The following is a 27,464-nucleotide window of genomic DNA, read 5'->3' as shown; positions in this document are numbered from 1 at the left end:
CAGTCCACGTGACCCGAGAGTGCTCTTTGAGGTGGCTTGCAAAAAGACAAAAAAAAAAGCAAGTAGAAGATTGGTCCAAGTGACCTGAGAGGGCTCTTTGAGGTCACTTTGAATGTGCAAAGTTCAGTGGATAGAAGCTATAACAGAAGAGACAACAGGTGGTGTGGAAAAGCCTCCAGGACTAAAAAGCTGGGTTGTGAATTTCACTCTTGGCTCCGTCGTCCACTGGCTGTGTAGCCCTTCAAGTCACTTAGCCTCTCTTGGGCTCCTTTTCCTGGCAGTAAAACAATACCTATAGTGTTCTCTAGCTCGTGTTTCTGAATCTATACATTACAAGTTGAGTATCCTTCATTTGAAATGCTTGGGAACGGGTGTTATTTGGTGTTTTTTGTTTTTTGTTTTTTTTTTGGATTTGGGAGTATTTGCATATACATAATGAGATATTTTACGGATGGTACCCAAATCTAAACACAAACTCATTTGTGTTTCTTATACACCTTATACACATAACCTTAGCTTGAAGGTAATTGTATACAATATTTTTAATAATTTGTACATGAATTAAAGTTTGTATACGTTGAACTATCAGAAAGCAAAGGTGTCAGGTGTGGAATTTTCACTTGTGGCATCATATCAGTGCTCAAAAAGTTTCATATTTTTTAGAGCATTTCAGAGTTCAGATTTTCAGATGAGAGATACTCAACTTGTATCTCTGTTGATCATCCGAACAATCCTGTGCAGAAGATTGGTCAAGAATTATAAACTGTTTTACTGAAGTGGAAATGGTCCAAAGAAGTTAGGTGACCCTTCACTACTTGTAAGTGGCAGAGCCAGAAATGGGACCCAAGATATCTAAGCTCCTAGTCCAATACCTTTTTCAACCTCCCTGCCAGTTTTGAACTTGAGCAGCCCATAGATTTTGGTCATCCAGTTCTTCATGTGGTGCCTACTAGAAGTTTATTTTATTTGATATCATTGATTAAATCATCCCAAAGCAACCAGTTTACTTAAGGTAAACTCTGTGTGGGGTTAAGTTTTGCTGTTACGGAGCTTGACATTTTATTGTACAGAAAGTGTTGATAAAGATCTGTTATTTGACTTGGGAATAGGTGATGAGGGATAAAAAATGAAAAAAAAATTGTATCCAACTGTAAATCTGATACACTTTTAAAGGAAGGCCACTTTGGCAACAATTGATTTGAAAATATAAAAAAGTTGGCCAGGCATGGTGGCTCACACCTGTAATCCCAGCACTTTGGGAGTCCGAGGTGGGTGGATCACGAGGTCAGGGGTTCAAGACCAGCCTGGCCAATATGGTAAGACCCCGTCTCTACTAAAGATACAAAAATTAGCTGGGCCTGGTGGTGGACACCTGTAATCCCAGCTACTCAGGAGGCTGAGGCAGGATAATCGTTAGAACCCGGGAGGTGGAGGTTGCAGTGAGCCGAGATAGCACCATTGCACTCCAGCCTGGGCAACAGTGCAAGACTACGTCTCAAAAAATAAAAAAAGAAAATATAAAAAAGTGATACCATCGGGCCAGCCATGGAAATGAAAGTCAGGGAATAATGGTAATATTTGTGTTGAATATGCCATTAAATTAAATCTTGCCAAAGGCTGTATGACATGAGAATATGCAAGCAACTGAATCCCCTCTTTACTAGTTTGTGAGCCCTTGACTGAATTACTTGATCTCCCTGAGTCTGACCCAACTGTAAAAGGGGGTGATGGTGATGATGGTTCTACCAGCTTCACAGAGTTTTGAAGGATGAAGTGAGATGCGCATGTGAAGCCTAAAGCACACTTGTAGGGCTTCCCATTCTGTCCAACAATTTGGTTTCAATACAGATATATTTCTTTAATATATAAAAGAAAGATATATTTCTTTTTTATATATTTATGGTCCTACAAAGTCGTGGACAAATCTAATTTTATAAAATATTTTCATGCATTATAGGAGCTCCTATTTAAAATATTTTGAATAATTTGTAAATAAATCATCACTTATCTTTTTTTTGTAAATCTGCATTTTTTGCATAAAACAATGGGTTTTCATAAAGTGGTGAGGAGGTGCATTTATTAAAATAATCAGTGGTGCACCAGACTGAATAGAGCCTTTTCCTAAGACAAGTCTCCACTTCTTGTGTTACAGATCAATAAAATAAGAGCTAGTTGAACCAGATGGCCTTAAGGTTCTTTCTAGATATGGCCTTGGAATTTGTGACTTTATCTTGGGACATCACAGTGGAAGCCCCATAAATTTTTATAGCCTAGGAACTGTGCTTTTTATATTGGCTGGCTTGGAGCCAGTAGGTGCCCTAATAAGTAGCAAGTATAACACTAAATATAAATGCTAAGTGACTTGCAGGAAGAAGAGGACATTTTTAACCATTTTCCCCAAATTGGAAAACAAACTCAGGCTTTTCTTTCTGATTTTTATCCCTATGATTGGGACCAATAATAAAACACAATGCAGTGGACAGAGCAGATAGGTAGTAATGGACGAGTGCCTTGATATTCCTCCTTAGGGAGCTTACATTCTACCTTGGAAACAAGATATACACACACCAGCTAACTAACTAGGCAAGATATTATTGCTTGCCTTACACCAGAAAAACAATCTGAAACATTTTTTTTCCTATTTTATTTTTCATTCAAGTGCCTGATCTTGAATTAAATAGTTTCCTAAATTCAGCAAAAGAAATGCAAACGGCATAAACGATCTGCCCAATTCATTCTCTTCAAAGTTGCATTCTTTTTTAAATAAAAATTGGAATTTTTGCCAAGAGAATTCAAAGTAAGAGAAACTGTTTGCAGTTAGTGATTACAATTCCTGAGGAAGAGAGCTCAAGAAAACAAGATTAAGGGATCCAAGTTTTTACTCTGAAGTTTTAAAATGAATTATTCAAGTTAAAATAAATAATTCCATTGGTAGCTATACAACAGTGTGTTTCGAAAAGGCTTCATAAGTTGAGCTTTCAAAAATTAAATTATTTGAGTACATTAGGGAGATTTTTAAATTCTATAGAAATAGAAACAAAAAGTAGAATAGGGTTATTGCTGGACTGGGAAAAGGAAGAAATGGAAAGTGACTCAAAATGGGAATAGAGTATCTCTTGGGAGTGTCCTAACATTAGATAGTGGCAATTATTGCACAACTAAAAACCCATACTTAACCCCACTGAATTGTAATAATCATAATGCTAAGGGTAACCGCAAATGCCATTTATTTGCCGTTGACCGCTGGGAGACTTACCTGACGCAGTGCAATGGGACCCTCAGCGTCTTTAGAAATGGAATGAAATGGGCATATCAATACCCACCTCCATAAAATAAAAAGTATTAAGATGCCCTTTTTAAAAATCCTATAGCGAATACACATGTCATGTGAATCATTTTTTAAATCTCTTTTTATCTTTTGTAGAAATTATAAGATTCTAGATCACATTGGAACCCTCACATTCATTCTCTTGCTTGAGTAAAGGTGGGTCACTGACCCGAAAGTGAGAGCAGAAAGGTAAATGGGACATGGTCTGTCCCATCACCATCCCTGCTAAGGCACTGGCTTCTGACGTCCTCCTTCGCATCTGGCTCTCCCATATTGTCATCTTCTTGGGCAGGGATCCAGTCCCATTCAAGTTGGGGGCTCCCTGGAAGCAGCCACCTAACTCTACACATAATTGAGTCTTGATAATTGTTCTTTAGTTGACTTGGCCTAAACTTGTTAAAGAGAACATAGAAGGAAACTTTGAAGCCTCTTTTGGATTACCTCTTGTGCTTGGCACTTACATGTATTTTCTCATTGAATACTCACTACGACAGTGAAATCAGTTTCATTTTAGAGATGAGAAAACTTAGTCAACTGGAATGTCTTTTAAAGGCTGAAGACCTTTCAGCCTGCAAGATCCTAAATACTGGTCATCATATTTGCCTTTTTCACTCTGTGGCAGGCGCTGTGTTAAGTGCTTTTCAGGGATGGCTCATTTACTCTACAATAAATCAGAGATAGGCACTCATATGGTTTCCATTTTAAAGATAAAAACACTAGACTTAGATAAATTAATTCACTTCTGTCACATAGCAAGTGACAGAGCAACATATCGCATGTCGGTGTGTACTTTTAAGCACAGTGGAGCATAGTGGTTCTCAACCTTGTGTCAGCACCTGAGAACTACCTGTGCATTCACATATACAGCGACACATGCACTCACATACACTCTCAGCCCTTTCCCTGCACCTTGACTGGTATTTCTCCAACCTGGCTGCATGTGACAATCAAGTGGAAAGCTTTTAAAAGTACAGATTCCAGGGTCCTACCCCAGACTAATCAAATTAGAAGTGGGAGAGTGAGCCTCTTTGGGTAAATAGGTTTTTTTGTTGTTGTTGTTTGTTTTTGAGACAAGAGTCTTGCTTTGTCACCCAGGCTGGAGGGCAGTGGCATGATCTCGGCTCACTGCAACCTCCACCTCCCAGGTTCAAGTGATTCTCCTGCCTCAGCCTCCCGAGTAGCTGGGATTACAGGCATGCACCACCACATCTGGCTAATTTTTGTATTTTTAGTAGAGATGGGTTTCACCATGTTGGCCAAGCTGGTCTCGAACTCCTGACCTCAGGTGATCCACCTGCCTTAGCCTCCCAAAGTGCTGGGATTATAGGTGTGAGCCAGCCACCGTGCCGACCATTTGGGAAACAGGTTTTTAAAAAGCAGAGTAGGCTGGCCCGAGTTCCAAAGCACCGTGCTAGGAACCATCTAGAGTTAAAGTTCCTTCTGTCACTCATATTTAGGCTAATGGTTTTAATTAGGTCCTTGAATGAGGTAAATGTCTTACATGATTATTTATGGATTCCTGCATTTAGCCTTGTCCTTTGAACATAAGAAGTGCTAAAAGAGAACTTGTTGAATTGAATAGAAAGCAGTTTTCAAGGAAACCTTCATAGGCAGCAGAGCTTAAAGAGTAGCAACATTTCTGTTTCAGTTAGTAAGCCTAGTTCTGTAGAAGAATGGCTCATGCCTGTATTGTCTTATTTTTGTGCCTAATGGGTATATTTAAGGACTTGTATATCTTGGCATTGCTGTATAATACTAATACCAATGGAGAATGGAGTCATTTCTGGTAAGTAGCAGTATATTAATATGTAATAATACAATTACATACCTCTCACCAGCTTCAGGTAAATGCCTTTGGTCAAGATGAAAATACAGAGGCCGGGTGTGGTGGCTCACGCCTGTAATCCCAGCACTTTGGGAGGCCGAGGCAGGTGGATCGCAAGGTCAGGAGGTGGAGACCATCCTGGCTAACACAGTGAAACGCTGTCTCTACTGAAAAAAAACAAAAAAATTAGCCGGGCCTGGTGGCGGGCACCTGTAGTCCCAGCTCCTCGGGAGGCTGAGGCAGGAGAATGGCACGAACCCGGGAGGCGGAGCTTGCAGTGAGCCAAGATGGCACCACTGCACTCCAGCCTGGGCGACAGAGCGAGACTCTGTCTCAAAAAAAAAAAAAAAAGATGAAAACACAGAATACGAAGGCAGGTGAATATTGGTATTATAGGAAATCTGGAAGCTTCAGGAGAGCAAAGATAACTGCTCACTTTGTTCTTCTTCCAGCGATTGAGCAGAGCTGAATGGAAGACAAGCTCAAGAAAACCTGAACATTTTAAATGACTAGTTTTCAGAGTGCCTCAAGATGAATGTCAGGAGGAAGTTTTTAACTTTGTAAATTTGTTCCTAACAATCACTGTTGAATGTGGGGAATCTTCCCCAACTGTTTCACAGATCACTAAAGAGACTCTATTGAATTCCACAAACATTTTTTGAGTGCCTAATATATTCAAAACACTGGGTTAAGAGCTGTAGAGAATAGTAGACTACGGCAGTGTTTTTCAGTCTTTTGTTCATTATGCCTCCTCCAGAATACTTTTTAGACGTTGTTTTCTTAATCCCTCCCCTGCCATAGATATAGTGTGTACTGGTTCAGGTACTGTATGTATATTTGTACTTTATTGTTATAAAAAGAGTAAGATATCTCCCCCATCCCAAGAACCAATTTTGCCCCGTTGCTGGGCACCATTTAAAGTAATGTTCCTATCATCAACACTGGGTCCATTTTTCGTTTGACAGCAGTCTTGGTGATTCCTGGTCAGGAGGGATATATAAACATTCCAGGAGACCTGAGCATATTTCTGTCCCTGGGCTTTGCTACCTAAGCTGACTGGGATCCTGATTAAAGACCTTTCTGGTGAAGCAAAGATCCCAATAAGAACATATGACCAATTTCCTGCAGTTTACTAGGAAAGCTGTATCGTAGTTCTGGGAACAAGTGTGTCGTCACAGTAATTCTCACTCATGGCCTGATACACGCAAGGAAGAGTTAAATAAGAAAGCTTGACATTCTTCTCTGTGAGATCAATGCTAAGTATATGTGATCCAAAGGCTATGAACATTGAGATAAAGGACAGTGGGTAATTGAAATCCATCCACGCTGTTATTCTGGCCCTCTAATTAGAATGCATTTTAGTGTTCTGTATCTCAGTTTTTGTGCCTTCACCCCCTCTTTTATTATTCACTATACAGGAAGCATCCAGGATGTGGGAACATTGTGACATTTGCACAATTTTTATTTATTGCTGTGGAAGGCTTCCTCTTTGAAGCTGATTTGGGAAGGAAGCCACCAGCTATCCCAATAAGGTATGGTACATTAGAGTCTCTTTTAGCTTTTGGATTTTTTAAGAAAGTAAAGAGGTGGTACCTGTATAAAAGGAGGATGAGACATTCTTTTATAAGATTTATTTCAAAGATACCAGTAGAATAATAAGTCATTTTCTGAATTTAATATGTTGTGAAAATCCGGGGTACCTACTTCGAAAATAAAATTTCTGCCACAAGATTTAAAATAACCATGATGGAGACAAGAGTGTGTATGTGTGTGTGTTCTTATTTAGTATAGGATTAGTCAGAAGGCCTAGTGTGACCACAAATTTTGTGCTGTCTTCTGTGTTGGTGAAGTTATCAAACATTCTAAAAGGGGAGTATCCTTGTTTCTTTTTAAAAACGAATGGCTTTTGGAAATAAATAGAGGTAGTAGTTACATAACTTTGTGAATGTACTAAATGCCACGGAATTGTTCACTTTAAAATGGTTAATTTTATGTTATGTGAATTTCACCTCAATTAAAAGAAAATGAATGGCAAGCAAAGTCAAAATTTGTTGATGCCAGACCTGTAGTACATTAGTCCAAATGTGCATAATTGTACTCATGGGGCCAAATAGAAAACAGGGCAGTTCTTATGTTAAACAGTGTATTGAAAACTCAGCCTTCTTGCTGAGAGTGACTTGAGATAAAAGTGTAATCCATCCAGTTGTGAGTATTTAGTAGGATGATGTCACTTACTCCCGTTTAGAGCGACATTCTGGTGTGAATATATCCAAGTATGAAGGCAAAGGCCCATCTTTGTTGGTTTTCTTTTGCAGCATTCTTACGTAGCCTGCTATAGAAAATCTGGCTGAATTTTGTTAATATTATACTTTTAAAGTTCCCAGTGCGATGCTAAATATTCCAGATACTTTTAGTTTTTCATTTGCTTTAGTATCTGCATAAAACTTTCTGCCCCTAAAGACCAGCATTTATATTGCAGTAAAAGCCCCAGCATTTCTTGACTCCTCTGGCCCTTTCCTGCCTCTTCCCACTATCTCTCCCCATTCTCTCCACCACTAGCATAGATCAGGAAGTATACCCTGTCACCATATCTTTTATAATAGCATCCTAGCTGGCTGACTTCCCTGCCTCCCACCTCTTCATCCATCAATTTCACTTAATATCGTTTTATCATGTCGCCCCACTCTGTGGTTACCACGATGTTCTGAATGATGTCCAGACTCCCCATCCTGCCCTTTGAGGGTCTCTGTGATCTTGCCCTCATAACCATATTCTCATGCATGTCCTATGTGTGTTGGCCATTTTATTTTCTGTAGGTGGAGCCATAAACAAAATTTTGCTCATGTCGTTCATCCCCATCCACAATTTCTAGGCAAGCAATGTGGAATAGTTAAATTAATTACCCTAAAAGACCTTGACAAACTCTGTAAATGGCACCTCTTCAAGGTAGAACTAAGAAAATTTGGCAAGAAACTTTGTAAAGTCGCTGATAGTATATTATTTAGAAGCTGTGAAGAAGCTGTTGCTGGTAATTTTGCATATGTGTTCATTGTCAAGTTCCTCAGACTTTCCAGACTATATTAATTCAGCCTTGGCTTGACTGCCTGTTGTGGTGTATGGCTCCACACCTAACTAGCAACGCAGAATCGGTTCTTTCAGGGAAGATCACTTAGGACTCAGTGCTGTCATATCCTTCAGATGTGCAAAGGTGGAAAATGGTTGGGAATCTCCAAGATCAACATTTCCTGAAGAATATGGAACCACTTATTTGCTTTTGCCCTGCATTCTTTAGCCATTTATTTTAAATGCTGTTTTTTTCTCTTACTCAATATAGGAAGTTGAGTCATATGAAATTTCTGACATTCAACTCTTTTTGACCTATAAAAACGGCAATTTTATATGGTTTGGCCCAATATATGTAGAAGGCATCTTATGTATTTTCTGAATCACAGTGATGACATACAAATGTAAAATTATTTGTTTAATCCATCTGTTCATAATAATTCATTTGTATTTATCCCTTTAAGTTATTAGGGTTACTGGATTTTTTTTTTTTTTTAGTTTTTGTTTCTATTATTTTAAGACCTATAAACTTTCAAAAAACAGAGACCCTGATTTTAAATAAAAATCTGTACAAGTCAAACCATGTCCTCATTAATTTGGAGGCCACTAGTTCAGAATGCGGGAGAATTTTAGCAGCTGCTAGGCTGAAAATAATCCTTAACTTAGCAAATACTTTCTTTAGAAACAGCGAAAATTAACAGTACAAACAAGTGTATAGAGGAGGTATTTGAGAAAATCAGCCATTTTCAAGTTCTTCAGAGGTATATGAAAATTATTTACAAAGAATCAATACAATCATTTTAAGTTGCTATGTATACTTGAAAATTTTTAAATAGTGTTTCTTTAAATGTATTTTATAACTTAGATTTTCCCATGTTAGTCTGGCTTTGTGAAGCGTTTTGATATGTACTTAGTAGTTGACATGGCATAATAGTGATGCAATCTTGCAACGCAGAGGAAACAGGCAAAATGCCTTTTTAGCCAAAAATATATATTTCCTATACTTGATTTTCTTGAAATCCTAGATTCTGTTTGATGAGCTGTTCTGTCTGCATTTCAGGTACTATGCCATAATGGTGACCATGTTCTTCACCGTGAGCGTGGTGAACAACTATGCCCTGAATCTCAACATTGCCATGCCCCTGCATATGATATTTAGATCCGTAAGTGCTGCCGGATCACGTGTATATGTTCCTCTGAAAAGTATAGTTAAGTAGATCGATTGAATATATGGCAGAACTAGAAGGTTCTTGTAGTAAGTGGTCTTGGGTAGAAGAATAGGTTTGTGAATGCGTGAGCAAGGGTGGCTTTCATCTGAGAAGGCAAAAAGAGAAATCTCAAAGTGGATGGTTTACTTTTATTCTTCTGAGGTCTAATGAGTGATTAATAAAAAGAAAATTAAATTTTCCCTAGGAAACAGATTTTACCTTCATTTTCCCTCATCTCTTTGATTTTATATTCAAACATGCTATTAATGTTATTTAACTTATTTCTTATCTCTTCTTCTTTCATAAAAGTACATTTACTTCTAGAACATGAAAGAGATACTTGTCTTTTCTGATTTTTTTTTTTTTTTTTAAGCAGAGACTTGAGATAATAAAGGGAAATTCTTGATGAAGGTAGGGTTTCTCCCAAAGCACTCCAGGCAAAAAAGGCTGATAATTGTGGTGATAACATTTCCATGTGGTCTGAGATTTTTGTGAGATTGTACTGTTCCTGAAGGGAGTTTCCAAAGCAATTATAATAAGGTGACCTTCAAAGCATTGAAAACATAGTGGACTTTCAATAAACACCTGTTGATTGATTGTCACCTTTTTAGAGAACAGAGAGATCCTTGCATGACTTTTTCCATTAAAACTGGTCAGGGGCTGTGCACAGTGGTTCAGGCCTGTAATCCCAGCACTTTGGGAGGCTGAGGTGGGTGGATCACCTGAGGTTGGGAGTTCGAGACCAGCCTGATCAACATGGGAAACCCCATCTCTACTAAAAATACAAAATTAGCTGGGCGTGGTGGCACACGCCTGTAATCCCAGCTACTCGGGAGGCTGAGGCAGGAGAATCGCTTGAACCTGGGAGGCAGAGGTTGTGGTGAGCCAAGATCGCAACATTGCACTCCAGCCTGGGCAACAAGAGCAAAACTCCGTCTGAGGGAAGAAAAAACTGGTCGGGGGTAGAAGGTGCAGGTAATGGGGAGAAACTTATTAAAAGCTCTTATAAATTAGGTGATGGAAATTTTGACAAAAATAAGTCTGTGATATCATTTATTCGTGCTAGCCCTGGCTTCAGCACTGAGCAATTACAGTTGACCCTTGAACAACATGGGTTTAAACCACGTGGGTCCACAAATATGCAAATTTTTTTCAAACAAATATGAAAATACAGTATTCACGGGATGCAAAACATGCCTATAAGGAGGGCTGATAATGACTATATTGAGAATTGATCCTTTTTATTCTCATTGTCATCTTTAAAAGGTTTTTTAAATATATATATATATACGTATATTTTTGGAGACGGAGTTTCGCTCTTGTTGCCCAGGCTGGAGGTGCAATGGCGCGATCTTGGCTCACTGCAACCTCCACTTCCCGGGTTCAAGGGATTCTCCTGCCTCAGCCTCCCAAGTAGCTGGAATTACAGGCAACTGCCACCACGCCCAGCTAAGTTTCGTATTTTTTAGTAGAGACAGAGTTTCACCATGTTGGCCGGGCTGGTCTCAAGCTCCTGACCTCAGGTGATCCGCCCACCTCGGCTTCTCAAAGTGCTGGGATTACGGGCGTGAGCCACCGCGCCCGGCCATCATAGTAGATTTTTATGGTTTATACTTTTGCCATCATAAGAACAACTAAATCTTTACTAATTATTCATCCTAGCTTCCTTCATTCCATGTTTTTTCCCCTTGCCCATGTTCCTATTCTCTCGAATTACGTTGTTTTTTTCCTAGTGCACTAAACCTCTCTGTTACTGTTGTCTCCTTTTGCAGGGTTCTCTAATTGCCAACATGATTCTAGGAATTATCATTTTGAAGAAAAGGTAAACAATACACTTCTGTATTTTGTGTATGGAAATGATACCCTGAGCCCCTGTCCATAAGCTAGTCACCTGGATTCCTTGTCCCAAAATAGTGATAAGTTTGCTTCTGGCCATCTACCTCTTTTCTTAGTTCTTTACCAGTGAGGCCCAATCATGCAATGTCCTGAAGCAGCTGATCAGGTAAGAGGCCACACCTGTGGTGTCTCTGTGTCGAACTGAATAGCTCTTGGCATCACTGAATTTTAGTGTCATACTAACCTGCGAAGCCAACTTACAAAGATGATAGAGAGGTTCACTGTGCAGTATGGTCACCACTAGCCACGTGTGACTATTTACATTTTTCAAAATTAAAGAAAATTAAATATTTAGTGTCTCAGTTTCATTAGTCACGTACATTTTTTTTTCTTTTTTTTGGAGACGAGGTCTCACTCTGTCATCCTGGTTGGAATACAGTGGTGTGATCTCGGCTCACTGCAGCCTCCACCTCCCAGGTTCAAGTGATCCTCCCACCTCAGCCTCCCAAGTAGCTGGGACCAAAGGCATGTGCCACCATGCCCGGCTAACTTTTTTGTATTTTTGGTAGAGATTGGGTTTCGCCATGTTGTCCCCGCTGGTCTCAAACTCCTAGTCACATTTTCAGTGCTCAGTAGACTCACAGAGCTGGTAGTGACCACGTTGGAGAGCCCAGATGTGGAACATTTCTAACATCTCAGAAATTCCATGGGATACTTCTGCCCTAGAAGATGCTTATCAGTACAGCATAGCAAACTAAGGAATGGTTGTACATATTAAAAAGGAAATTCCTAAAAAGGCCCAAATAGCCAAGAAGATGGAATGAAAGGTTCAGGACTGTTCTTTGTGACCATCACCAATGGCTCTCTTTGGGACAGGAGCAGGGGGGACAGGAGCAGGAAATACCAGAAGTACCTGGGATGCTTTTTCAAAGTTTTTGTCTGTCACCTTCATTCTGAGGTTCACCCCTCACTCCTAAGGAGGAAGGATGTTAGCAAGAGACAACACATACAGTTTGGGAAATTTATCAGGGAAAGTTCACTGTTAAGACCAAAATTATACAAGTTGATGGCAGCGTTTCAATGTATTTGATATCCAGCCCCAAGCTCTCTATACATGCTTGGAAAGTAGCTGTAAATTCAGAATGTGAGAACCTAGAGTTTTTAAGTATTAAGGGCTGTGTCATAAAAAGAACAATTGTCCTGTCCTACTAGGCTTCATATCATGGACCGTTTATCTCCTGAGGCTTATGAATTCCCTGAAAAGTACTACTGTAGTTGATTTCTTTCTTCTTGGTTCTCTGCATTTAAACATATATATATATATACATATGATGGTCAGGTTTATTACATTTGAAGTGATCATCATGCTTCTTATAGTGTGGAATTCGCCTTGGGACAGGCCTGTGCTCTTTCCCAACCTTTGATTCTGGCTCATGACAAGGATACAAAAGAACATGTTATAAGAGAAATTGTATTCTCCTGATAGTGCCCCAAAATGTTACGGGTCTTTCTCAAGCATCTGTTGCCCTTAAGAACTTGTTCTGAGTGTGTCATCTTGCATCTATCTAAGCCTTTTGACTCTCTTTTCTGTGTGTATCTCTTTCCCATTGAGCAGGAATTTCCATAAGTTAACTTTCCAACAGAGTAAATTAGTAACTTCTTATCTCCTTTTATCTTGGGTAGAAGCCCCTCAAGTTCATAGTGTGCTCCTCATTCCAGGATTTGAATATCAAATTTATATTCACCTTACCCATGCCTTTATTATTATTTTTGGCCTCAGTTGTAAACCTCTTCAGCGTGATCTTTGCAGACTGAAGAGGTTCATTATTTTTTACCGTACCTCCGCTCGTACCTGCTTCCTCCCCAACCGCTCTCTAGCGTGGTCCTCTTGGCCCTTTTAGTCCCTTTCTCTGCCCATTAGCTAGTTCTGCTGGCCTTTTATGAGGTACTGTGACCAGGACAATACTATGTATTTGAGTAGAAAACCTGGGATGGTTCATCTTCTTAATTTCTTTTAATCCTTGCCTGAGGCCTTTTGCTTGATCACCAAAAATCTGAGAGGGTGCTAATGATACTAGCTAATGTGAAATGCTACTGTTATTACAGCCCATAGTTCTATAATCTGAATATCCTCCCCCTTATCCAACTATGCCAACATTTTAAAACAATGTTAAGTCATTCAGAGATTTAAAAAAAACAAGCCTCCCCCAGAGAATGGATGATTGGATTATTTTCTGAGCATTGAATCCTGCTGCTTGCACCTGATAGCCTGTTTTTCCACTCGCACAGTGTGTCTTAGGACACAGATTTGGTCCCCCTAAAGACAGGAAAAGCAACAGATCCTAGTAAGGACTGGGTCAGCCTTTCATCTGGACTCTTGAGAGCAGAATGCAACATCACATCTGGTCTATTTCTGTTTTTGTCTCCTGATGAAATAATCGATTGGTCAGCAAATTGTTGGAGACAGACTAAACAGTACTAAGGAAAAGTGTTGGTTAGAAACTAGTCAGTATCCTGATTCATTCATATGCATACTTCTGTGGACTCTGCTGGAAAGTAATCCTGTCTGTCATACTTTAGTGATTTGTACTTTCATGCACCATCTGACTGTAAATATCACTGGGAAATTCATATCTGTGCTTTCCTAAGGTGTTTTTCTTCTTTTTTTTCTTTTTTGCAGATACAGTATATTCAAATATACCTCCATTGCCCTGGTGTCTGTGGGGATATTTATTTGCACTTTTATGTCAGCAAAGCAGGTGGTAAGAAGCTCACAAATTATTTTATGTTCACTACTTGCTATTGGGGCCCAGTTACCAGGCAATTAATACAATTCAAATTTTTATGTAATACAAAGATTTTGAAAGAGAAGAGGGGAGGGAAATGGGTAACATAAATGTTTCCCTTGTATGTCGGCACCTTGCACGTAGTTCTGCTCTCTGTACCTAGTTTATTTTCTTATTTCCTAGACTTCCCAGTCCAGCTTGAGTGAGAATGATGGATTCCAGGCATTTGTGTGGTGGTTACTAGGCAAGTACAATAATTATAATAAAGCTAATTGCCTCTGCAGTTGTGTTTGCTGAGTTTTCTCCTAAGAGAAATGTTTCTTGGCAAGAAGCTTCAGCTAAACAAATTATGCCATGGAAGAGAGGCACCTGGGATCATATTTCTCTGAGCCTTAGCGTTCAAGAAATGAAAAAAAGAAAATGCCCCCACATTCATGGCAGTATGTTCTACAACATGGATCCATGTTTTTCTTGGTTGCCACTGGTGTAGAAAGAAAAGTGTGTGTCTACTTGCACATCACATCCTTTGAATGTCATCCGTCTCTTCACGATCTGTCTGCCAAGTTGAAGCTTCTGCAAGAGGGCACGTTAGAGCAATTGACTCTTTAAATTTCCGAGGGACTCATTTCTAAAGACTTATTTTCTTCAGAGGTTAGCTGTTCCATATGGCAGTGTTCCCAAACCTGACTGATTATCAGAATCTCCTGGGGAATTTTTAAAAATACAAGGATCTCTGTGGAATTAAATAGGCAGCTCCTGTAGAGCTTTGTTCTCACATTTTTTGATATGGAGCTGAGACTCGTTCCAAGGGCTTTCAATGACAACAATAACGGATTGAGACTGACCAATTGGAAGAGAAATAGCAGTGAAAGAACTGTGTTCTCCTTGCTTCTTGGCTTTGAGACTTTATCCCTTGTTGCTGTTTGTAACATAGAAAGATCCTTATGTGCTATTAGAAAAATACTCCAGAAGAAAAATTTGCAAAGGATATGAACATATAGTTCATGGGGGAAATAGTAGCACCCAACAATTTTAGGTTCAGCCTCACTAGTCTAGTAATCAGAGAAATGCAAATGAAACCCATGCAATACCTTTTTATGTTGGCCTATCATACTGGCAAGATGATAAATGGTTATCTCATTGCTGCTGAGGGTACAGTAAAACAACTATTTTTATATAATAAAAATAGTTTGGGTATAAATGGACACAGCATTTATGGAAAAATATTGTGTATTGTATTTTTTAAATGTCCACAGCCTTTGACTCAGTAATTCCACTTATGAGGGTTTATCCTAAAATATATCAACATTTGTTTAAAGATTTGTATACAAGGATGTACATTGATTTTAATAATGAAATAATTGGAAATAACCATCCTCATACATTTAAGTGTGCTACATCCATATCATAGTCATTAAAAGCATTCTATTTAAAAAATTTTAATGACTGATTTGAAGCAAAATTCCAGGCAAAAGCTCATGAAAAAAGCAAGATATAAAATTCCATATGCAATCTGATCCTGTCTTAGTGTAAAAAAATTTACATAAATGAATATATAAGAAGATGTAGAAAGCTGTAAAGGACTAGATGGTAATAATGTATTTTTATTTCTTTTTACAGTTTTGTACATGTTCTACAATTAGTTCATAATATTTGCAGGACTTTAAACAATAATGTTCTTCAAGAAAAACATCTGGAAATGAACAAATGCAGACATCTTGTCACCTGATGTTTGTTTTTTAGGTATTGGGGCATTGACTTTTGCTCTTCTGATGTCAGCAAGGATGGGGATATTCCAAGAGACTCTCTACAAACGATTTGGGAAACACTCCAAGGAGGCTTTGTTTTATAATGTAAGCAACTTCCTGAACCTGGGAACGTGAAAATTCCTAAGTTGTAAAATGTTACTTCAAGTGAACTATTAATATTCTCTGATGTAGTTGAAGGTGTATTATTGGTAGATGGCTTTGAGACCCACAGACTGAAGCAGTTTTGATGGGATGCTCTGGTGGGTTCCAAGTCACAGTTCACTACATGAGATGATCACGATCAATCAAAGCAAATTAAATTGTGTCTGCATATTTAGCAAATCCTTTTGTGCAGAAAGACTATATGTTTAAATTTCTCCATTCCCTGTTGTTGAGGAAAGGATGCTGGCTCCATTGTTTGCTTTGTCTGTGATGGCCCTCAGACCCTATAAGGGCAAGAACCATAATTTGGGGGTTAATATCCTGCCATACAAGGTGAAGTGGTCAAGAAGCACTGTATACATTTAACTTAAGTCTAACTTGCTTTTCTTTGTATTGCTGTCAAACAACCTGTACGACTTTTAATCATTGTAAAGCTACTCTAATTATTCTATAATGTTTTTGCACTTACATTTATCTGACCTGTTTCTTTCCATAGCACGCCCTTCCACTTCCGGGTTTCGTCTTCTTGGCTTCTGATATTTATGACCATGCAGTTCTATTCAATAAGTCTGGTGAGTTTGGGGTTAGACAGTAGAATTACCTGACAGTTTCTGAGGCAGAGTCTCAGTTTTACTCTTGACTTGACCTCGGCCTTTTTCATAATCCTATTCAAATCATGTGTTCCTTTCGAAAATGTCTCCATTCCACTTTCCAGTCATTGCAGCAGCAAAAGCTTTTACAGGGGTTTCTCAATTATTTACAAATGAAGTAAAAGAATATCTTCGAGTTTTCCATTTTGCTTTGGAATTTGTGTGTTTGCATTTGAATGTGAAATGTTTGATGTTTTGAGAATGCAAATGAATACTTACAGCACACTGCAGAGACTGGAGCCCTGCGAAGTTGGGCAGCCGTCCAGCTCTCTCAACTGCTGTTTATCCTTCTCTGCCATGAAAGGCAGAGCTGCTCACAGATCCAGCCCAAGCTGCCATGGAGCAGAGCAAGAGGGGAGCTCAATGATGACAAGGTTTTTCTCCTAGTTACAGATGAGACAGGCAGCAGATGAATAAGCAAAATTAGTTTCAAGCGTCTAGTGTAAGTTAGCTGTTACTTTTTAAACTGGCCAGTTAATAAATTAGCTATAGATTGTCAGTTAACTTGAAAGGGATCACTTGTATGATCTGATTATCTACTAACAGAGTATAATATAGACACATTGAACACACAAGGAACAAATAAACGTTTTTAAAATCAAGGCTTTATGTTGCACACACCTCAAATGCTTAAGTGCATTTTGTAGAATGACAGTAGGTGCTCAGTAAACATTTGTTTGCTATCTGAGCATGAGTTGTGAAGTTATGACTATTCTCTGCATTTATAGTGTTGCCTCTCCCATTTGCCCCATCCCCCAAAAAATGTGAAGGTAGTGTGTAAGAGTTTGTAAGGCTCTGAATTACTCAAATAATCATTTCTTCATATTAACACAACAGTTTTTAAGATCTCTGAGAAGTCCCACGTAGCAAAGGGCTATTGAAATAAAAATGTTGTCAAATTCCATGTGATTGATTTAGTTGTTAGAATGCTGCTTCTAAAAATCACAGGGCTAGGTATTTATGATAAAATGTTTTACAGAATCTGCCTTCAACTTCTCCAGAATCATTTCCAAGTTAAAGATACATTTTCCTTCTCTTGCTTTCCTTGAGATTAAGTTTCTGAGATCCGTGAATTTTCCAAGAGAGCTAAATATCTGTCAAAATATTTTAAGTGATATTCATTGTCTCTTTCCTTCAGAGATTCAGTGTATCTCTGAAGTTATTAAAAAGTAATCACGTTTGTTAACTTCCTTTTCATTTCAATACTTGCTAAGGATATCAAAGATAATAGAATACCAGATTATTGGCATTGCCCACTGATCCAGAACTAAGTTTCAAAAATTAGTCTTTATGTGTATGCGTGTGTATGTATATATGAGACATTTTATTCGTGAAAGAAAATTAATATTTCTTACCAGATCTCAGCATCATTGTATCAGAATTTCTTAAATTATGCTGTATAATTCAAAACCTGAAAAAAATTTAGTAATACAAAAAAACTGAGCCATTGAGGATTTCTATGTCTGTATTCTCTTTCATCTTATTTCCTCCCACAAATTTACTGTGCAAGTGTCATTATATAAAGCTAACATAAGAGTGAGAGTGTGTGTGTGTATGTGTCTTTTAATAGAGACAGGACCTCCCTGTTGCCCAGAATGGTAGATTGGTCTCGAGCTCCTGGGCCCAAGGGATCCTCCTGCCTTGGCCTCCCAAAGTGCTAGGATTACAGGCGTGAGCCACTACTCCTGGCCTAAAACTAATGTAAGAATATATTTAAAGTTATTCACAGTTCCATCAACCTGGACATCTGCCAATTTTATTTTTATTGATTTTCTTCTAGACCATGTCTGTTTACAGAGATTCTTACATAGCTGTAATCCTTGTGTGGATATAATTTTATATTTGTTTTTTACTTTTTTTCTGAGTTTTTTTTATGTGGCTATAAAATCTCTATGATTTTTGTTTTTATCAAATGTACAATGCCTCCTCTAATGAAAGTGCCTTTGTTTATGTAGCCATTGCACCATCATTGGGCATTTGATTTTGATTCAGAGTTATTCTTTATTATGTATAGTACTTTAATGAGTGCAGAACCTTTTTCTTCCTTTGAATTAAACTAGGATTAATTCTGAAGGATGGGTAGGAATACTTTTATAGACCCTTAATAAGGATTATGAAATTGATTTTTTTAAAGAATGACGCCAAGTTATACTGCCACCAACCTGTGGCTGCCAGTTCCATTACCAACTTGCCAGATTAAGATATTATTTATACATTTTGAATTGGCTAGGCGCAGTGGCTCAAGCCTGTAGTCCCAGCATTTTGGGAGGCCAAGGCAGGCGAATCACTTGAAGTCAGGAGTTCAAGACCAGCCTGGCCAACATGGCGAAACCCCGTCTCTACTAAAAATACAAAAATGAGCCAGGTGTGGTGGTGTGTGCCTGTAGTCCCAGCTACTTGGGAGGCTGAGGCACAAGAACCACTTGAACCTGGGAGGCAGAGGTTGCAGTAAGCTGAGATCATGCCACTGCACTCCAGCCTGGATGACAGAGTGAGACTCTGTCTCAAAAATAAATTAATAAGTTTTGAATTGCTAATTTTGTAGCTATAAAATGGTACAGTCTTATTTACTTTGGAATTCTGTAATTACTAGTGTGATTGAACATACTTCCAAACAGTAGTTGCTAGCCGCCTTTCCTCTTGTGTTGAGTTGTTAAGGCTGTCTATATCATTTTATCATTTTCAACTTTTCTGTGCTTCACAGTCTTTCTTTGTAAAGTGAGGTACTATTCAGGCAAATGGTAAAACACTTCCTTAAAAATTAAAACTATTATTTGTTTTAAGAAACCAATTTAATGACTTTAGTGGCTGCTATAGCCTGGAGTCAAGGCAAGTAAAGTGATGCGTGATCCAATTCTATTTGCAAGGAAGACAATGTTGCTGTTCCTATTATGTTCAGTCTGTATTACCCTGTTCAAAAGATGAAAAATTCAGCTGTGAAAAAGCAATATGGCTATATCCTCTTGTAACCTCTACAGAGTTATATGAAATTCCCGTCATCGGAGTGACCCTGCCCATCATGTGGTTCTACCTCCTCATGAACATCATCACTCAGTATCCTTTGGACTGTGCCGTCACCCTTATGTCATCATCAGGTTCTTTTGGCACAGGAATGGTCATTCTTTTCTTCTAACAGTGTGTTGACTTGAATATGATTTTCGCTGGATTTATTCTGCGGTAAGCTGGAGACAGAGACCAATTCAGGGAACTCCTTGTAGAGGGCAGAAGAGATGCTAGTGGTGTAGTAGGTCAGTAAGGCACAGGGCAGCAGGAGGAAGTGCTCTGAGTGGAAGTGTAGGAGTCCATTGATTGATAGTGGCGGGTGTGGTGGCTCACGCCTGTAATCCCAGCACTTTAGGAGGCCGAGGCGGGCAGATCACTTGAGGTCAGGAGTTTGAGACCAGCCTGGCCAACATGGTGAAACCCCCTCTCTACAAAAATACAAAAGTAAGCCAGGCATGATGATGGGTGCCTATAATCCCAGCTACTCCATAGGCTGAGGCAGGAGAATCGCTTGAACCCAAGAGGTGGAGGTTGCAGTGAGCTGAGATCATGCCATTGCACTCCAGCCTGGACAACAGAGTGAGACTCCATCTCAAAAAACAAACAAAGAACTACTGTATAGCATAAATCATCTGTGATTTGTACCTGTGATTTTTTGGTGTCCTAAGATATTTCCAGTGATCACAAGCTGCTGCAAAGTCCTGAAAGAAATTTCAAATTACCAGCTACTTAGGAGGCTGAGGTGGGAGGATCGCTCAAGCCCAGGAGATCGAGGCTGCAGTGAGCTTGATCACTCCACTGCACTCTAGCTTGAGTAACAGAACAAGACCCTGTCTCAAAAAAAAAAAGAAATTTCAAAGTAATCAAGTTTTCGTTTTTTAAAATGGTTATTTCGAATGACCTTACTTTCATTATAAAAATAATTATGTCTTTGAAATAGTGAAACGAATCGAGATTGACCTCATTCCTCTGAAGTCAGCTCCTAGATTTGCCAGAGTCCCTTTCTGGAGGAGGGGATAGAAGGGCTGGAGGCAAGATAAATAAAGGTGAATGGGATCACCCTTACCGAGAGCGTCACCCTCTGTCATTATCTTGGAGGTGCCTGTCATTGTAACCATAGGAAGACTCCAACATAAGAATAATTGGGGGTTTTTTGGCGGTTTCAAATTGGTACCCATAAATGGAATGGCAGGACAGGAGTTGTTCTGCAGGTTCTCCCCAGGAGGAGCCTCAGAGCTGCCGTAGCGGACCTTCATGTTTTCTTAGAATATGAGAAGTTAAACCAGGGACCATGCCAGAAGGTTCTCTCACTGATCCCCCAAGTACAGTCTACAGAAAACTACCTTGACTCCACTCCTCCAGGTACGTGTGCATCCGGGGTGTGTTTATCCTCACCACAGAATGCGCCTCCCTCACCGTCACGCTCGTCGTGACCCTACGCAAATTTGTGAGCCTCATCTTTTCCATCTTGTACTTCCAGAACCCCTTCACCCTGTGGCACTGGCTGGGCACCTTGTTTGTCTTCATTGGGACCTTAATGTACACAGAGGTGTGGAACAACCTAGGGACCACAAAAAGTGAGCCTCAGAAGGACAGCAAGAAGAACTGAGGCCTGTCTGGAGTACGTAGACCAGTGTCGTCGTGAGGGTGGGACCCTGTGAAGGTCTGACCACCGTTTCGCTTTTGTTAATGCCGAGCTACCCGCAGTGCTGAGCCAGCCGTGCAAAAGGAAATCTTCAGGAGGGGACTTCTCACGTTGCTCAGACTGACACATGTAGACTAAATAGAAACCCCTCAGCCCTAAAATAGAAAAAAGAACAGTTCTGGACTATTGAACAGCCCATTCATTTATTTCTGTTTTGTTTACCGACATATTCAGTATTATTCTTGTTTTCTGAATTCTGAGTCTCCTGAACAAAAGGCTTACTATCCATGGTCTTGGAAAAGATTGTCCCTTCTCTTGCTGTTGTAATGCATCTCTGCTACAGCAGTCATTGTCATCCTGTGACCTTATCCCTTTTGTCTCCCATCACCTTTTCCTTCTTCAGCAGCACCTCACAGTCAGTCAGACGCTGCAGGCACCACTATCACCAGGAGTGGCCAAGTAAACCGAGACACCAGTAACAGCAGGGCTGGACTTCCTCCAGCGTTTTGGGAAGGAAAGAGATGTTCCCCTGAGCTGATTCCCAGTGACAGTGCAGCAAGACTAGTGGGACTCCTCTTTCCCACATTTTGCTTTTTTTTTTTTCTATGCAAAAGTCAGATGCTTCTATCCATTGCTTTCTGTGATTAGGGCGGCCCTGCAGCATATCTCACAGCAGACACAGTGTTCATAACAAAGAAAGGTTGTGCCGGGCACGGTGGCTCACACCTGTAATCCCAGCCCTTTGGGAGGCTGAGGTGGGTGTATCACTTGAGGTCAGGAGTTCAAGACCAATCTGGCCAACATGGTGAAACCCCATCTCTACTAAAAATACGAAAATTAGCTGGGTGTGATGGCGCATGCCTGTAATCCCAGCTACTTGGGAGGCTGAGGCAGGAGAATCACTTGAACCCGGGAGATGAAGGTTGCAGTGAGCTGAGGTCGTGCTACTGCACTCCCGCCTGGGTGACAGAGTGAGACTCTATCTCAAAAAAAAAAAAAAAAAAGAAAGGTTGTTATGGACTGGACACCCCTGAAGCCCATTGCCTAGGCCACAGTGGTGACGGCAGGATGGCCCTGCTCAGCACCGCAAGAGCCATGGCTGTCCCTGTTGGCCCAGCCGGGCACTCACAGGGCAGAAGGGTGGGTCTCAAGTGGGAGGATAAGGCTTCACCACCAGGAGATTCCCCTCTGCCCGATGACTCTGTTAAGAGTCACGACCCATCAAGGGAATGCATAGATGGAGATATATAGTGTGTGATGTGTAAATCAGGTCAAACCTCAACGACAATTGAAAGTTGTTATTGTCCTATGAGGTATCTTAGCATTCTCGATGGGTATTGAGGATGGTTGGATGTGCTTTATTGTGTGTGGAAACATGCCTCTCTTTGCTAATCATTTCAGAGGTCCAGTTTTCCTTTCACTGGACAATCTTGAATAGGAGGAACGCTGTTGCTGTAATATGCGTAGCTTCTGTGTGCTCTTGTGTAGTCTGTGTGTGATCAAAGGGCACGGAAGTGGCTGCACTTTCACATCCCTTTTCTTTACTTAGCTGGAACCTTACATACCAGTACATGCTCCTCTGTAAGCAGCTGAACTCACCGGCCACTTCTCTGTTTGCCTATAGACAAAGACTGTGTGTGTGTGTGTGTATGTATGTGTGTGTGTGTGGTGCACACATTGTGTTCTTAAACTGAGACGTGGCTCTGCAGGTCTCCTGGGCTCATTCCATGGTGTGGTATGTTTATTCCACTGTCCAGAGCTATTCTCTGATGGATTTGAGCAACAGCAGTGGAGATAAATGTCCTAGAGTCACCAGGTCGCTTGGAGAAGTCATTTAAGCTGCCTCGGGTTTTTGTTACTTAAAATGTGGATATTATTTCTCCACCTAAATCACTGAGTTTACAGAGTAATAATGTGTTGCTCTGGACATTGACAGCTTTCTAGAGCCAGTAATGGGCTCTTCTGAAGGATGCTGAATTAGAAGTGAACCTATTCATAGGATCAAAAGCCACTTGCTTTGAAATATGTAGAGTTCCTCAGAATTGACGGTGCTAGAAATATCCAAGTGTTAAATAACCTTTTAAAAGCAACAAAAGCTACTTTTTTCTTACCACTTAATAGAAGAACCTGTCCCTAGAGGCGACTTCATTGCTATGGATCTGGAGTCTCTGAACTCTTAATAGGATGCAGCCTCACATACATAATGTCACCCATTTTATGTTGATGAAAACATTACAAGTTTTCTTCATTGGGTATGTGTTGATGTTCACAGACAGTACTTGGGCCCATTAGGTTTTCGCGTCTGGTCTTAGAGCATGTGTATTCATCTCAGCGTGAATACCTCAGCCAGTCTTATGAATAGGAGGCTATGTATGGGCAGGGAATAGATTAGATTAGAACACTCGCACAAGATGACCACATATAGAAGCAGAAAGCCCCAAATTCCCTGGGAACTGTTTTTTCTCTAGTAGCTGAATATAAGGAAATATGTCTAATGGACACCAGTTAATACTTTTTAAAACTACTCTTTAAAAAAAAAATACGTTCCCCTTGGTTAACTGATTTTTTAATCCAGGGTGGACATTTTTTCAACCTTTATTAAAAAGACAAATAAACTATTTTGTAGAAGATCAGACTCCTACTTAACTGGAAGAGAAATGTCTATTAAATGTCTCTCCTCTTTCTCTGGGTCAAGACCATGTAATTTTATGCTTCAGAGATGAAGATACTGTTTGTTTACAAAGAGTTTAGTTTTTAAGACATCCAAAACTCTATGCTAGAGCAAAAATCAAATAGCAAAGGACACTAGCCAGAAAATACAGTGTGTGTGTGTGCACCTGTGTGCCTGCTGAACAACTTGACAGTGTAACAGATAAGGTAACTGAAGATGGTGGATATTTGAATTGTATTAGCTTAATGTCTACATATCTTTGGCCAAAACTCTATTGTCATATTAGAAACATGTTATCTTTTTCATGTTTATTAGTAATTTATTTTTGATTCTTTGTTTTCTTTTTCGTCCAACTAAAACAACTGTAATGTACTTGATACATTTATATCAAGTTCTAAAGTATTTAGACAAATCCAAATACTTTGTTTTTAGTTTTTTCCTCCTTTCCATCCTGTTAACCACAGTGAAACGCTGCAGTATTTTGATTTGGTCAGTGCTACGGAGGAAGACCATGAAAGCTGAATTGGTCTGTGCCACCCAGAGTAAACCTCTTCTCTTCTTCTGGAAAGATGGCGTGATGTTTTTCAAGGATTCTAATAAATATCCCGCAGTCATCTCCTGAGCAGCTTTCCTCTGTTTCACTTCAGAACTCCTTCCCCCACTTTCTTCACTCCAGTTTCTTCACTTGCAGCGTTTTCTGCTAAGAAAGACTTATCATCTTGTATCTGTTTATGCCTCTCTTCTTTGGGGCCCCTGGATGTTTTTGTGGATTTTTACAGAGTATTTATATCTGCACAGCGTGTATTTTGTTATACATTCTTACAAGCATTGATATTGGGGGGTACATTCATAATAGTGAGAATATCTGGCAGAATGTGTGAATGCCATATCTGTAGATGACGATGAATGTGAAGGGTTAATGTAGAAATGTTTGTTTATTCTGTTACAGCTCAAAATGGAGGCTGAGAATCTCTACCACCATTCCCTTCTCTATTTGAGAATCTCTACCACCATTCCCTTCTCTATTTGGGAAACAATACTCTCTTATTTTGCTATTTTTACCTTCCCATTAACTGGCTTCACTCAACAGTGCCAGATACCTATGGAGAGGGGAAGTAAAACACCTTAGGTCAGGAATAATAAACCAATGAGTTAGCTCAGGGCCGGTGGACATGTTCACTGGTGGACCAGTTGGCATTGACCTAAACGGACAGAGAAATGCACATGGAGGAGAACTACGTTGAAATCAAGATCCTATGTCTGTTGTATTTTCTCTTTGCCTGGAGTAAATAGCATTATAAGTCATTCCACCCTTATTAGATAACCAAAGCATATTGGTCTCAATAGCTTTCTCCTGAAAAATGTGATTGAATCTTACCTGTAGCAGTTCACTCTTAAGGTTGAAAGAACTGTCAATATAGATAAAATCCATTCCTTATTATTATTGATTGGTGTGACATTTGAAAATGTGTCTAAACAATATTTGTAAGTAAAAGAACCAGTCATAAGCCTCAAATGTGTTCAGTGTGTACCAAGCTGGAATGGGAGACTGGCCCCTCTTGGCTTTAAAGTAGCATGTTGTCTTTTTCTAGCAGCTTCTTCCTAGTAGACATTCCAGGGATGGGAGGGGCCAGGGATCATGTCTTACTCATTTCTGTATCGCCAGCCCCTGGCATAGTGTCTGGCTTATGTTATGTGAATAAATGAATGCTTGCCAAGATCTCTTCTTCCCTCAAGTTTCTGGAAAACCTGAGGGTTCGTGATACCTGTTCCCACTCCTCATCAGCGGGTTGGCAAGAAAGCAAATAAGGGGAAACATTTTTAACATTCCAAGCAAGAGAAGGAAGAACGACTATTGGGAGGAGGTACACCAGAGATTGCTCAGTGTGCAGCCTGCTACCTCACTTTTGGCTCTGGATTGCCTGGTGGTAGAAGGGAAGAGTATTATGTAGTTAGCACCTTACATATTTGATGCTCAGGAAGAAAGTGCAAGAAGATCCCTAATAGAACATTAAAGATTCTTAAAAGTTTTTGAAGTAGGCTGCTTGGGGTGACCAGCCCCACCCTTACATCTCCATAGTTGGTACAGTTAGCTTGTAGCAGCTGAAGCTGATGCCTGGAGATCACTGTCTGTTGGTCTGATCTCAGTATCATACTGAGACACCTCCCCTGAGCCTTACCTACTTAAATTGGTAACCGTCCTACCAAAATTTGTCAATTTTAATCAAGTGAGGCAAGTTGCAAGGGAGCCAGAGATACGTGAAAAAAGAAAAGCAGAAATACTGATACTTTCTAAGAAAGAAGTTGTAATAATTTCTTTGGCACATTGACTTACTGATATCTTTTGAAATGCATAGATGACTCTTGTGAACCAAAGAGAGCAGTAGTGGTTATTCCCCGGCGCAATAAAAATGCCTTTGTGTATCACTTGCGATTGCCAGTCATTTCTGTGCCAGTTGCTTTCATTCCAGAGAATGGCCTCATTCTCCAAAAAAAGATGATGATTTTAGAAGTAGGATTTCCTAACAAATTATGTGGTGGGGAGGGACGGCGGGGATTTTATTCATCCCGTCTGAGCTCTTCATACAGTATTACCATTAGGTTTTAAGAACAAAGATGGGGGAGGAGGGAGTAGAAAGCTGAGAGTACGTAGAACAGCTACAAGACATTAGTGGGTATTCAGATTTTGAGCTGTGTAAATATCAAACATCGGCTTCCAGCCTTAAGAGTTATTTGAGCAGAGAGTTAAGGAGGAATGGGAGATTTTGTGAATAAAATGTTTTGCCAAACTGAATGAGTCTTTTTGCCATTATTTCTTATAGAGAGCTATTTTTTACCTTCTGAAACAACTCATCAGACATCTGGGGTTTATCTTGAATTGTACCATCATTGTTTCTTAATAAAAGTGATAAATTTCTTGCAGGTGTTTCCAATCACCATTACCTTTGAAGTGCCTGTGTGCAGTTTCAAAAGCTCTCCAATTTTTACCTTGTATAGTGGTGGTGGCATATTTTACTACAAACGATTGTCAGCAATCTCTCTTCCTAATGCCTCGCAGCTGGATCAGTAATAAACCACTTCTCAGGCTGGTTTCTGCGCCAGAAATTAGTTTACAGAGGATCAGCCTACTTTTGGAAGTTTTAGAGGTTTGTGGCAGTACATTCTATAGCAAATCTCTCAAAACCTCTTTGCCTTGATAGAAATACACTGACTTTTGTCAGCTGCAGTGACCAGCTCTCTTTGTCTTTGATATGTTGCTTTTAAATAAACCTCAGCTGGAAAGTAACTCTTCAAAGCAGTTTACCTCACCCAGCCTACTTTTAATCATGTTATGCAGTAGCCCCCAGGTACAGAACACAAAAAGAAAAACAAATGAGAAATTTTGCACTAAATATAGCATAGTTAAAATTCATCTCTTTAAAAATGGCATTACTGTTTTATCAGGACAGGGCTGGATGTTCTTAAACAGCCCTGGGCCTGTCATTACACGCAGGAATGGTCTCACTGCTTCTGAAGCCCTTTCACTCTCAAGTCATTTG

At 39.8% G+C, this 27,464-nt stretch overlaps 1 protein-coding gene across 7 annotated transcripts in view, besides 1 other annotated feature; it reads left to right on the top strand.

The window, feature by feature from the left end:
• The window catches only part of SLC35B4 (solute carrier family 35 member B4), a 31,007-nt gene extending 4,288 nt beyond the window's left edge, over positions 1–26,719 (top strand). For 2 of the 7 annotated variants that reach the window (XM_011516645.4, NM_032826.5), the window contains exons 2-10: positions 6,572–6,685; positions 9,277–9,379; positions 11,197–11,246; positions 13,941–14,022; positions 14,230–14,290; positions 15,790–15,899; positions 16,453–16,528; positions 19,585–19,660; positions 20,972–26,719. In XM_011516645.4, coding sequence (XP_011514947.1) covers positions 6,572–6,685; positions 9,277–9,379; positions 11,197–11,246; positions 13,941–14,022; positions 14,230–14,290; positions 15,790–15,899; positions 16,453–16,528; positions 19,585–19,660; positions 20,972–21,218 — 919 coding nt within the window. In that variant the 3' untranslated portion in view covers positions 21,219–26,719. Of the gene's footprint in view, positions 1–6,571; positions 6,686–9,276; positions 9,380–11,196; positions 11,247–13,940; positions 14,023–14,229; positions 14,291–15,789; positions 15,900–16,452; positions 16,529–19,584 lie in introns of all 7 variants that reach the window. The other 5 variants (XR_001744889.3, XR_001744890.3, XR_001744888.3 and 2 more) reach the window with 5 other exon arrangements.
• Positions 22,754–22,813: a silencer, noted in NCBI's record as "silent region_18671". NCBI's record gives its function as "represses an Ori minimal core promoter by ATAC-STARR-seq in GM12878 lymphoblastoid cells {active_cell/tissue: GM12878}" and the evidence as "EXISTENCE:reporter gene assay evidence [ECO:0000049][PMID:35858748]".
• Positions 26,720–27,464: the final 745 nt, after the last annotated feature.

This window comes from Homo sapiens, chromosome 7 (assembly GCF_000001405.40).
Source record: "Homo sapiens chromosome 7, GRCh38.p14 Primary Assembly".
Lineage (NCBI taxonomy): Eukaryota > Metazoa > Chordata > Mammalia > Primates > Hominidae > Homo > Homo sapiens.
This window is presented reverse-complemented; position numbering and strand designations above follow the sequence as displayed.